Source organism: Homo sapiens, chromosome 7 (genome assembly GCF_000001405.40).
Source record: "Homo sapiens chromosome 7, GRCh38.p14 Primary Assembly".
Lineage (NCBI taxonomy): Eukaryota > Metazoa > Chordata > Mammalia > Primates > Hominidae > Homo > Homo sapiens.
The window spans coordinates 126895247-126908218 of NC_000007.14; the positions used below are offsets into that span (position 1 = coordinate 126895247).

A 12972-nucleotide genomic window follows, 5' to 3' on the forward strand; every position below is an offset into this window, starting at 1 on the left:
TTGTTTAGACGATCTTCTGTAAGACACCTTGAGTTTATCAGTAACCTTTAGCACAGTTGAATGTTTATTTTGCTAATTTAGCTTCAGGTGCTATGGTTATCATTACAAACTAACTCTAATATTCTCTGTTACTCAAAGTATACCCTAGAGCTCACCAGGATCCATGTCACCTGGAACTCATCAGAAATGCAGAATGCCTACCTCCAGAGTTACAAAATCAAAATCTGCATGTTAACAAGGTACTTAAGTGGTTTGTGTGCATGCTAACATTCTAGAAATGCTGTTAGACATAGTGCTTCCCATATTGCTTTAAAATAGATATTTTTCTTTAAGAGAATGAATAAATGAGTAAACTAACTCTAATTTAGCAATGTGAACTGCTATAATTCAATGTCATTGGACTTAGAGTTATAGAACTTCTAGTTGATAGTTTCTCCTATTTTGTTTTTTGCTTAATGTTGTCATAGGTCTACTCTTATACAAGGCAAGGGGCCAGGGAACTGGATGTAAAGGTTTACGCTGTTCAAGACCCACTAGCAAAAACTACATGTATAACTGAAAATCAATGTGAAGAATATTAAAATATTTACTACTTTATAAAGGATTAGGTAATAACCAATATGTTATTTTTGCTTCACTTTATAGTTGGTGATTAAAATTCCAAAATGTATTCCATCACACATAAAGTATCATAAAGAGCAAAACAGGAAAATATTTTTCAACTATGTGGTAAAATATCTAATATAAGTAAATAATAAATGGAGGATATAAATGTCAAGGACAAATCCAAATAAAAGAAACCAGGATCCTGGCTGCAGCTCTGAGATTAACACTGTGATTTGTCAATAATTCACTTTACTTCTCTGGGTTCTAGTTTCTTCACTAGAAAACAAGAGATTGATTCTTATTTTACATCCCAGCTCTAAATTCTGAAATCTAGTATGTCTGAAATCAATGCCTGTTTTGTCATCTCAGATGGATCTATTGAAATTCAACATGAAATCTCAGAAACAGCATAAATAAGTCATCCTTGGATTTCTGCTATTTTACTTGCGAAGAACAAGAGCATATGGATGGCTACCTGGTAGTGCTCACGTAAAGGCATTCTCCCCAAGAGTTTTACTCTAGGCAAGGGGACAAATGGGGATGGCAGAACGCATTTTAATTCAGGGGAACCTACCTGGGTTATCTTTCACTCTGAATCACCAAATCAAATTATGTAAATTCATCCCCCTTGATGACTACCTACTTCCTTCATATGGTCTCTATGCGTCCTGAGTGAATACGGGAGAGCTTATACCTTTCATAACTTTACAAAACAGAGGATTGCTGAGAGGTAGTTATAATTGAAAAGTTACATAGTTAATCTAGCACCAGAAAATAAACTGACAGGTCTTCCAGGGAGCTAATTATTGAGGCTGCTATTTGGTTCACTGACAGGATTGCTTGTTTGTGGGAAGAAACATATTTGTGCGTTGCTTTTTCCATTACCGCTATTTCTATCATCATAAATAAGAATCAATAGGCCATTTTGCATAGCATATGCTCACCACTATTTTGTATCTGAGTGTCAGCTGTATGCAGGCTAAGCAGCAGTGCCCCAGTCTCCTGGCTGAGAATTAAAACCCAGCAAAGAAAACACCTCAAATTCCACAAGACAGTGTATATGTCTTTGTGAGCTCCTTGAGAGCAAGGGAGGTCTGTTGTTTGTCTCTCTATCTGAAGCACAGTGCCTGGCACATGGTGAGCTTCAAAATGTATAAACAACTAAATGAATAATGAATGAATGGATGGATGAATGAAACAAAGGAAGGTTTTAAGATAGGATATGGAATCAACTGTATTTACTGGATCAGTCAAGGGATGTCGTTTTGATAAGCACAGAGCTATTTATAATTCGTGATGGAGACAGGAAGGAAAAGACCCGGCCTGAGTCCAGAGGGAGCTGGCTTTTGTTTAGCAGCTTAACCCACATACTCAGGTCTCTACAATATTCACTATTGGGTCCTCACTATAGAAGACAAGAAATCAGAATGACAGTCATTTAAAAAGTAAAGCAAAACTTCTGAAGAAAGACTCTACTGCCAATGAGAACATTGCTGGACAAAACAAGGTCAAGTAAGGGACTGATCAGAGGAAAGATAGGAATGAGAAAAAATGAGGCAATGAAGGGAGAGGAATTGTGGCAGAGGACTGAGTGGGGAAATAAGTGTGTGAAAAATGTGTAAAGACAGGGAGAGGATGAAGATGCAATTCTCAAGAGAGTCTGTGGGTGTCTGGGTTTTGGAGAGTGGAAAGACACTAAGCCTGAGAGTACAATGAGGGAGGGAGGAAGGAAGGGAGGGAGAGGTCAGATAAAAGTCTATAAAATAACACCCATCACCACTGATAACAAGTATAAAAGAGTCCTTTTTTCTTCTCGAGAAAGACAAAGGGAATTTTAAGTAGGATTAAGTAGTAGTAGCTTTCAGAACTCAGCAGCTCTCAGAAGCAATAATAACTACATAAATAGCTAAGTGGATGGTAGGAATTACCTCACTTGGAATTTGGCCAGCAAATCAAAAGTTAGCAGTAATATCACATCTTTTTGAAAGCTTTCCTGAGATTCTAGAGGGGAAAATTATCTCAGAAAACTGTTTCTACTGAGTAAATTTCAGGAAGAAATGCTCCTCACTGCTTGAAGATGTTCTATCTCTGGAAAACTGGTAAGACAGAAGTCCCTCCCTGCTGGGAAGCACTCTCTCATCCAAGTAAATACATTGCCAATTTTGCCCCCAATGGAAGCAAATAATTACGTTCGCAGATCACCGTCGCCTAATGTAAAATGTTACTCAACACATATAACTTAACCTACCAATGATGTTCTGAATGAACAAAAAGGGCCTCATGGATATCTCACTTTCAGAGAGTGCCTTAACTTTTTGACTTATTGCAGGTAGTTAAAATGCAAACTTTTTAAGGCCACATTTTAAAGCACTTTGCAAACGCTGGACACCTCTACTCGTGAATATCCTGTAAATTTTTCCTTTCAAGTACATTTGACCACTAACATGCCAGATCATCTTCCCTTCTCCCCTAAAACAGAAATGAAAACTGGGTAAAATGGTAATTTGGGAGACAAATATCTTCTCTTATCATCTGAAAACTGTCATATGTTGCTTTTTTAAAAAATTAAATTAGTGTTATTTGTTTTCCACCCAGAGACAAGTTATTTTGGTATCACCCACAATGGAATTTGCATGAAAATCTGTTTACTGACCCAGTTCCCTAGGGGTGCATTTGCCCTAGCACTTGGAGTAAACACCATTTTCATTGCACTAGAAATAGTTCTAATTGGACAAATTGTTATAATTTTAGCAACACCCAAATAAATCAAAGGAATTGGAGGCAGACATGCCACAGAATCTGGATTCGGCCACAAACCAGTTCAGTATTTGTGCCTGAAATAAAAGTCTAGTCATATACCACCTACAGATGCTAAAGGAACAGCTACATACCTCAACTGAACTTAGAAAATATGATTTTTTTATTGTACTTTAAGCTCTGGGATGCATGTGCAGAACGTGCAGGTTTGTTACATAGGTATACATGTACCATGATGGTTTGCTGCACCCATCAACCCATCATCTAGGTTTTAAGCCCCGCATGCATTAGGTATTTGGCCTAATTCTCACTCTCCTTTCACCCTCAACCCCCTGACAGGTCCCACTGTGTGATGTTCCCCTCTCTGTGTCCATATGTTCTCATTGTTCAACTCCCACTTACGAGTGTAAAAAAAAAAAAAGAAAGAAAATATGAGTTTGGAGAAACTGGTTATTCTGAAAACAGCCTATTAAAAAGTTATGTGACTGGTTAACAGTGTGTGTGTGTGTGTGTGTGTGTGTGTGTATGAGTCCATCCATTTCATTAACTGGGGTATTTTCACTAATACAGTCTAAATAACAGGAAATGAATTTAAAGAGAATCAAACAATAACATTCAGAACTCAAAGTTAAGCATAGTGTAAAATATATCTCAGTGGAAAGCATGTAAGTGCTTAACTTAACTCTCCTTCCAAACCCATCTATAAACTGCCACTTTGTATTTTCCATTCATGTATCCTCCTCTCCAAGAAGCTGGACCTTTTTACTGCTGTTCACGCACCTACACGTCACACCCTACTCCATGCCTTTGTCCTGCTGACTCCCCATTTCTTCTCATCTTGGATGTCTTTCCCAAATCCTTGTCATCAAACACTCATCTCCTCCACAGAGCTTTGGATTTTACAATGTAAACTTACATACATTTTCTGAACTTCCCTAATTATCTATATCCAAATTTAGCATTTAATTATAGAACTTTCCTCTCTGATTACGTATATGTTTGTGTGTACCTTCTTTTCCCCCAACCAAATCACATGATTTAAAGGTAACATTGGTCTTTAATGCCTCTCCTTAAAGTTTCCATCAAGATCCTACTCTGCATTTATTCTCTTTCACTAGTTATCCCTTCTTTTTTTTTTTCTGAAAACATGCTTAAATGTGCCCTATCCTAAAGAAATCTCCAATTCTTTCTCAAGCTCTCCCACCATACCTACTTTCTTTCTCTCAAAACTTCTTGAAACAGCATCCTTTCCTCCACTTCTATTCTGTTCTCTCTCAACCCCTCTAATTTGGTTACCCAGGCACACCCTTATCTCTCAGCTGCAAGTCCCTGCAGCACTGAAACCTCACGCACCTGTCTTTCTCCTGGAGACTGAGACAACCTTGACTCCCAGTTCATCTCCTTCCCCCAAGCCCAGCATTCTCAGTGTCCTTTCCTGGTTCCTGCCCTTGAATTCTCAGTCATCACTCCTCATCTTTTCTCAGTCTCCCATGGCAATTGCATCTCTGCTTTTGTCTTTAACTTCAAAATCTCCAAGACTTCCTAATCTCAAATTTTAGTGAACTGTCTGTGGGGTCCCAGACCTTATGCTGCCACCTGCTGGCCAGTTTCATGGGGCTATCTCAGAACAAAATTCAAGTTTATTCCCAAACACCTAACCATTCTATTTATTTTATATTTCCTCTGTTAACTAATTACATCACCATTTTCCTAGACCTCCCTGATAGAGGTTTAACATCAGCATCCTCCATGATTTAACGATCTTTGCCCCAGCATCAACCACTCAGCTGGTTGTTATATAAACACAACACTATGTAGCGTTAGATAAATATAACACTACGTACCAAAGCGTCTGTCCTGTGTGTTACATCCCTAGCTAGCTTTTTTGTTTGTTTGTTTTGTTTTGTTTTGTTTTTTTGGAGATAGAGTCTCACTCTGTCGCCCAGGCTGGGTGCAGTGGTGCAATCTCAGCTCACTGCAACCTCCACCTCCCGGGTTCAAGCAATTCTCCTGCCTCAGCCTCCCAAGTAGCTGGGACTACAGGCGCCCGCCACACGCCGGGCTAATTTTTTGTATTTTTAGTAGAGATGGGTTTTCACCATGTTGCCCAGGCTGGTCTCAAACTCCTGAGCTCAGGCAATATGCCCACCTCGGCCTCCCAAAGTGCTAGGATTACAGGTTTGCACCACCGTGCCCGGCCCCTAGTTAGCTCTTCTTAGACCATGATGGCCTGTCCCCAGGATACTGGATGAGTCCTCATTGACCTGCCTCCATTTTCTCCCCTGAACCCCAATCCTCTTCACACTTCTGCCAGGCAAATCTTCTTGAACCGAGTGTCTGAGCAATTCTCTAGATGAAGAGCCTCAAGACATTGTGTCCTACCGGTAGAATAAAGCCCAAATTCCTCAACTCTGGAACTTCTGGAAAGAACTTCAAGACTGTGCATGGTCTGGCTCCAGACTATCATCAAAGCCTCAGCTGTCATCACGCTTCCTCTCGCGATATTCACTCTTGCTCCAACCTCCCTGAACTATTTTTTTTTTCCTTTACTTTGAACAAAAGAGCCTTACTCTGGCGCTAGAGCTTGTCATGCATTCCTGTCATATCTTTACATGACTGACCACTTCTTGTCACTCAGGTCTTATCTCAAATGTCACCTCCTCTGGCGAGGCATACTCAGACCACACAGTCTAATTACCTTCCTCCTCCTAATACCCAGGTTAGTCTTTCACAGTTAATCTGTTGTATTTCTTCTAAGCACATCTCAGCATCTGAACACATCTGTTCATTTATGTTTATTATGGAGTGTCCATCTCCCCACACTCAAATGTAAGCCCGTGAGCATGAATATTGCCTTTCTTCACTCAACCCAGCTCCTGGAAAAGTGCCTGGCACATGGAAGCCTGAAATCAGATTCTTCCACAGTGTGGCACCCATTTCCACCTCCTTGTTCTGTCTCTGTTTATATGTCTGTGCTAGCTTTTAGTATATTACATCTTTTATTTGAACAGCTATTTCCAAAGAAAGTGAGGAGGAGGGAAAGGAGGACATATCAAAGTCTGGGGGTGGCAGGGTAGAAGAAGGAATGAATCATTTCTAAAACACACATTCAAGTTGTGTAGTTTTCAGTGTAAAGGATTTGTGCATTTTTGTTAAAATTGACCCTTATATATGTTGTATGTTTTTGATCCTACTATAAGCAGTATTCTTTAAATTTCATTTTCTATGTGTTAGTTTCTAATACGTATATTAAAAATGAATGTTTATATTGACCTCATATCTGTAACCTTGCTAAATTTACTGCTCAGTTCTAAGTAACTCTGTCTCAAAAAAAAAATTATGCGAGTTTTTTTTCTATGTGCACAATCATCTGAAAATAAATATAGTTTTAATCATATATTCAAAAATGCATATTCAATATCATTATTATTTTTAAGCACAAGCTATGGAAAGTAAAGCATCTAAAAATCATACATGTTCCAGGATAGCTGCTATGCAGGATTTAAGAAAATAATAGTATTATAGAGGACAGCGATTAAAATAGTTGAAAAATACTGTCTTATAGCAACTTATCATGATACATATTACATTTTGAACCCCTGGAGAGCAATACCATGTCTTATTTGTCTGTATTCCATCAAACCTAATAAAGTACATTTTCCAAAGTAGACAATAAATGTTTCCCAGATACCCCAGTACTGTATGCATGGTATATGTTCAATAAAAACTTGCTGATCCATTGAAAGAACCAATAAACAAATTTAAGTTTGTTGAATGATCAGGGTATGCTCAGCCCTGAGACACTATAACAAAAAGACACAAAAAATAGAAAATACATTCATCATTATCCATATAGAAAAACGTAATTTATCAAGTAATGAAAACAAATGAAAATGAAATAAATGCACCACAGGAAACATTTGAGTGGTTACCTGTGCATTTCTTTATATGACTGTTCCTTTTCCCATGTGATCCTAACTTGCAGCCAAAATTCTCCTCCCAGAATTCTGCAAACCACACATTTCTTCGATTATTGGCAAGAGTTCGGCTTCTAAAGTATCGATCAAATCCTATTTCAAAGGAGAAAGGTATGATTTTAATATTCTTTCAAAATTAAATATTGTCAGAACTTTCGAATGGACATTATATTCTGATCACTGCATGAAAAGAAAAAAACAAAACACATAACAAATGAGAGAAAGCCAGTAGCCCATAAATAAGGCCTCTCTTATGGCAAAAGTCAAGGAGGATCAATGGACAATCCCCCCACACCACCACCAGTACCCAAGCACCTGGCTCTATGAATAAGTACAACAGGAAAGCCTGGTGTCAGCGACCTTCTTAAACCCTCTCCTACTCTACTACTCCCAGAGGCAGCAACCAGTGACTTCATGCTGAATCCTGAATACTTAGAACCCAACTTAAACTTGCCTCATTCTTTTCTCTTTCCTAGCATGGATCAATGTTCCAGACTTTCCTGTGTTTCCACATACTTCAAAATTTCTCCTTCCTATATGTTCTGTTTTCAGGTAATTCAATAAAGCAATCATGTTAATGTCATCTTATGGAGTCATGAACTCAAGTGTCGGTTTGCTCAGGTAACTACTTTATTGAAGGGAGACCCCCTGGAAATAATGCCTTACTCCAGAGGATAATGTTAAGATGGGAATTTCAGTCACTGTCAAACCGACTGGAAAAGATGTTTAGAAGATAGACTGCCTTTCAGGATGCTCCAAGTCTTTCCTGTTGCATTTATTTATCCATAGGATAAGCCCAGCATCATATATATTCATTTTCTATAAATCAAGCATTTCCCTCCAACAATGCTATAACCACCATAAATACCCATGGAAATACGCAAACTCAAACTCAAAGTGCAATTACTAACATAATGGAAATAACTGACTATGGTCTTTTTCTTAAAAAAATATAATGGGTCCTCTTTCCTAAATACATACACACACACACACACACACACACACACACACACACTATATACATATATACATATATATATGTATATGTGTATATATATAGGTATATGTGTATATATATATGTATATGTGTATATATATATGTATATGTGTATATATATATGTATATGTGTATATATATATGTATATGTGTATATATATATGTATATGTGTATATATATATGTGTGTGTGTATATATATATATATATATATATATATGCATATGCATGCTGGTTTAAATACTGGTCTTGACAATTCTGCCACCAAAGCTAAAATTTGTATCAAGTCATCAGTAATGAGTGCATTTCCTCATATTATGATACTCCAGTTTTGCCTTTGAGTTCAGATCCAACTGGAATAAAACAAATTCTCTATGGTGCATTCTTACCATCAATTGATGCTCGTTTGGGCAAAATTGTCACAGCCCCTTCTGCAATCTCCTCTTGCTGATAGACAGGTGCTATTTTGGATCCCCAACTATCTGAGCCAATCCAGAGAAAATGCCCACTTTGGTTTAGTTTTTTTGCTGCTTCCAATATCCTCCTACAGGAATAAAAATAAATAATGCATATCACATGTATTAAAAATACCACAATTATGAATATTACAAGACCAGATTTAGGAAGTTGTATACACTCAGTAGGTCACTGTTTAACAATTAAGACGATCATTCTAACTGCCCGAGTCTTATCATCTCCTAAAAACAATATAGCAGAGACTAACTCCAACATATGTTAATTAGCCTTATCCTTAACCTCATTCACATCATTCTGTCTATCACCTTTGTTTGTCTTATCTCATTTGGTCCCCAAGTTTTACTCTGTAGGTATTTCAGATTTACAAACTAGAAGGCAGTCTGTTATTGGAAGGCAATTACAAGCTTTTATGTTGAACATGAAATATGTTAGAAAGAGGATATGGGACACAAATCTGACCCTACATACAGAAGAAAAGTAATCAGCACCTGATGTCATCCTCATTGGCAAACATAATCACTGCTCGAGCATTAGGTGTTTCTAGCAGGCGTTTGATAATTTTTTCAAATTCTCCAGGTCTTGGTTCACGTGGGATTTTCTGTGACTGAGCAATGCAAACACCACCTATTTAAAAAAGAAGGGAGGTGGTGATTCAGAAAGAGCATTTATTTAATTAGCAAACCCAATTACCTACTTTATAAAAGCACATACTTCTGTATGAATATTATTTCTCAAAATATGTGTCACTCTCACCTATTAAGAGCAATTGTTTGTTTGCATTATAATATATTCACCAAATAAATGACAACAATTATTAATCAGACATGGGTTTCTTTCCCAATATTTAAACATTATTTTTGTGGATATAGCTAAGAAAACCAAGGTGTATAAGATGTGTGATGAGAGTCAAAAGATGGAAAGAAGAAGGGATCTTTTGATTTATGCAACATAAGCCAAAGGACAAGTGACAGAATTAATAAAAGTATGAATATGTCTTATAGTTGAGACCCTTATTAAGTAGCAAAGTCCTTTTGTTACTTTTATTTACTGGTAGACTTCTTTTAAAGTTAATTTCATTGTATAGCTAATAGAACTGCAGCAAGATCCTCATGCATCAGCATAGCAATGTCTTATGAGACAAGTGGTCTTCAAGGCTATGTAAGACACAGGCAAACCCCAAAGATGCCAACTTTGGATTGACATACATCGCCACTATGAAAATCGAAATGGCAGAAATACCATCTCATTTTCACTGCAAATAAAAAGACAGAACCCTTCTTTTGGCCTCTCCTTCTTAGGCAATGAAGGACAAAAGAGAAAAGTATAGAAAAGATCTCTGCCTCTGGGCTGGGGTAGGAGGAGAAGAAAGAGGTTCCCCCAGTTGCAGTGAAACAGAGATAACATTCTGAAACTAGATGAGAAAGCAATATTAGTAATAGGTTTCAACTGCATTATGGTATAAACAGTATTTTTTTTTAGTCAGCTAAGAATTAAATCACCATTTATAGCATTGCTTCAGTAGGCAAAGGCATTTTTACTTCCAAACAATTGCCAATGCACTCAGTCATCCAACTGTTATTGGATGCCATTATATTCTACGCACTGGGCTCAACATTGGAAATGCACAGTCTAATCCAGGAGTTACCACCTAGTCTGGGAAATAGGCATTTGAATAAGTTACCATGGAATAGATAATAAAGTATATAATTAATAGGATACCCAATACAATCAGAACACAGAAGAAGGAGTAACTAAAGTGCTTGAGAGAACTGAATTTTAAAGAGCAAATATATATCCACATGGGGACAAAAGTGGAACATGTCTGGTGGAGGCCAAAGTATGTAAAAACCTAGCATGATCATGGCCTATGGTAGAGACTGGCTGGGTTTGAAGTTGGAAACAATGACCAGGTCCAACTTGAGAACGGCTTTGTTAGACATGCCAAATTCTGTAGGCTGAGTGTTCATATGTTAAAACTTAATCCCCAGTGTGAAAGTATTAGGAGATGGGACTGTTGGGAGGTGATTAGGTCATGAGAGTGGAGTCCTTATGAATGGGATTAGTGCCCTTATAAAAAAGACTCCACAGAGATTTCTTGCACCATCTGCCATGTGAGGACACAGCAAAAAGACACTGAACCAGGAAGAGGGCCCTCATCAGCTCTTGACCATGCTGGCACCTTGCTCTCAGACCTTCAGCCTCCAGAACTGTAAAAATAAATTACTATTGATTAAGCCACCCAGTATATGATAATTTTTATTTTTTATTTTTTAGATATGGGGGTGTCACTCTGTCACCCAGGCTAGAGTGCAGTGGCCAGATCATAGTTCACTGTAGCCTCAAAGCCCTAGGCTCCAGTGATTTGCTCACCTCATCCTCCGGAGTAACTGGGATTACTCTGCACATGCCACCACACCGCACTGGTCTCCTATAATAATTTATTATGCATTTCAAAGAGACTAAGACATCAAATAACTTGGACTTTATTTTGAAAACAATGGGGATCCATTAGGTTCATCAGCAGGAGAAATATATGCTGAGCTTTATGCTTTAGGTAGACTTTCAAAGAAGAAACGTCTGGTAGCCAAATGACAGATTTCCAGGGTGCTGTGATCGGACCTAATATGTACAGCAGATGTATGAGTAACTGGTGCCAGTATATAAAACTATTTTTCTTTTAAGTTAGAGAACATTCAAAATTATGCCTGTAATAGCAGGACTCTTAGTAACCTTACAATTTGCATCCCAGGGGTGGGAATTGCCCATAATACACAGATTGGGCTGTGTCACTACCTGCAGTTAGCTAGTCTACCGATATACTACCACTAGTTGTGATAATTGATTCATTCCTTCAGTAAATATTTCTTGAGTGCCCCGTATCTGCTAGATACTGTGTGGGTGCTGTGGACACAATGGTGAATAAAAGAAATTCTCTAAGTTCACAGAATTCAGAAATATTGTGGGTAACTCAGGCTTAATGCAAACTAAAAAGAAAGAAGAAGAAGAGAAAAAGAATGGAGACGAGAAAGAAGAAGAGCAGGAGAAGGAGGAGGAGAAAGAGGAAGAGGAAGAAGGAGGAAGAGGAAGAAGGAGGAAGAGGAGAAAGACAAGGAGGAGGAAATGGAAGGAGGAGGAGCAGATGGAAGGAGGAGGAAGAGATGGAGGAGGAGGAGGAAGAGATGGAGGAGGAGGAGTAAGAGAAAGGAGGAGGAGGAGGAAGAAGAAAGGGGAGGAGGAAGAGGGAGGAGGAGGAAGAGGAAGGAGGGGGAAGAAGGGGAAGGAGGAGAAGGAGAAAGCAGAAGCAGAAGAGGCAGAAGAAGAAATAATACATAATTATAAATTATAATAAGCCCTGTGAGGAAGAGCAAAGGAATTTAATTTAGATTGAGGACTGCTCAGGGAAAGCCACCCTAAAGTTGTGTAATGTAGTTGAGATCAAAAGGATGAGAGCATGGGAAAGGGCAGGAAAGGGCCAGGGGAGTCAGTGAATGAGGGTGAGAGGAGTGGGCAACAAAAATGAGATGGAGATAAGGGTCCAATTGTGTGTGGCTCTGCAGGGCCTGTGGAAGACTATGAATAATTAAATGCTTAACTTTCTCACTAAATGTTTCTATTTCTTCGATCTTTGAGTGGCCCATAGGAATATGTCTCATGTATGAGCATTGCACTCCACGGAAGAAAAATGGATGACGATCGCTGATACAGAGGGCAGCCTGAAGTGGGATGAACAGGAGGCAATGAGCCAAGCAAGGAGGTATTGGAATAGGCAGTGGGAAATGATGACTGAGCCAGCGCTACTGGTGCTGGGGAGGAGCAGCTGGAGCTAAGGCAGAATCTCTGAGTTAGAATCAATGGGGCTTTGTATTGATTTGATGTAAGTAGGGAAGCAATGGGAAACCGCTAAGTATGACTCCAAGGATTTGGTCTTTGTGACCAGTTATGTGATGGTATCATTAAACAAGTGGGAAATCCAGGAGGATAAGGAGGAGGAAAGAATGATTTTGATTGGAAGCAGGTTGTCTTCAAAGTATGCATGGAATGTCAAACTGAAAAAGTGAATCTGGAGCTAAAGAGAGAGAAGGGAATTGTAATACTTTCGTCAGGGGCTGATAGGTTAGGTATTTGAAGTGTTGTGGGGCAAAGAGGTCACTGAGAGAGA

At 38.6% G+C, this 12972-nt stretch overlaps 1 protein-coding gene across 25 annotated transcripts in view; it reads right to left on the minus strand.

Moving 5' to 3' along the window:
- Window positions 1-12972, minus strand: part of GRM8 (glutamate metabotropic receptor 8) — an 814344-nt gene that overhangs the window by 456649 nt on the left and 344723 nt on the right. For all 25 annotated transcript variants that reach the window (NR_163850.1, NR_163849.1, NR_028041.1 and 22 more), the window contains 3 exons: window positions 9302-9437; window positions 8726-8880; window positions 7296-7433 (listed from right to left, as the gene is read on the minus strand). Coding sequence is in view for 21 of the 25 variants with exons in the window: in NM_001371087.1 (NP_001358016.1) it covers window positions 7296-7433; window positions 8726-8880; window positions 9302-9437 (429 nt within the window). In the remaining 4 variants the exon portion in view is untranslated. The remainder of the gene's footprint in view (window positions 1-7295; window positions 7434-8725; window positions 8881-9301; window positions 9438-12972) is intronic.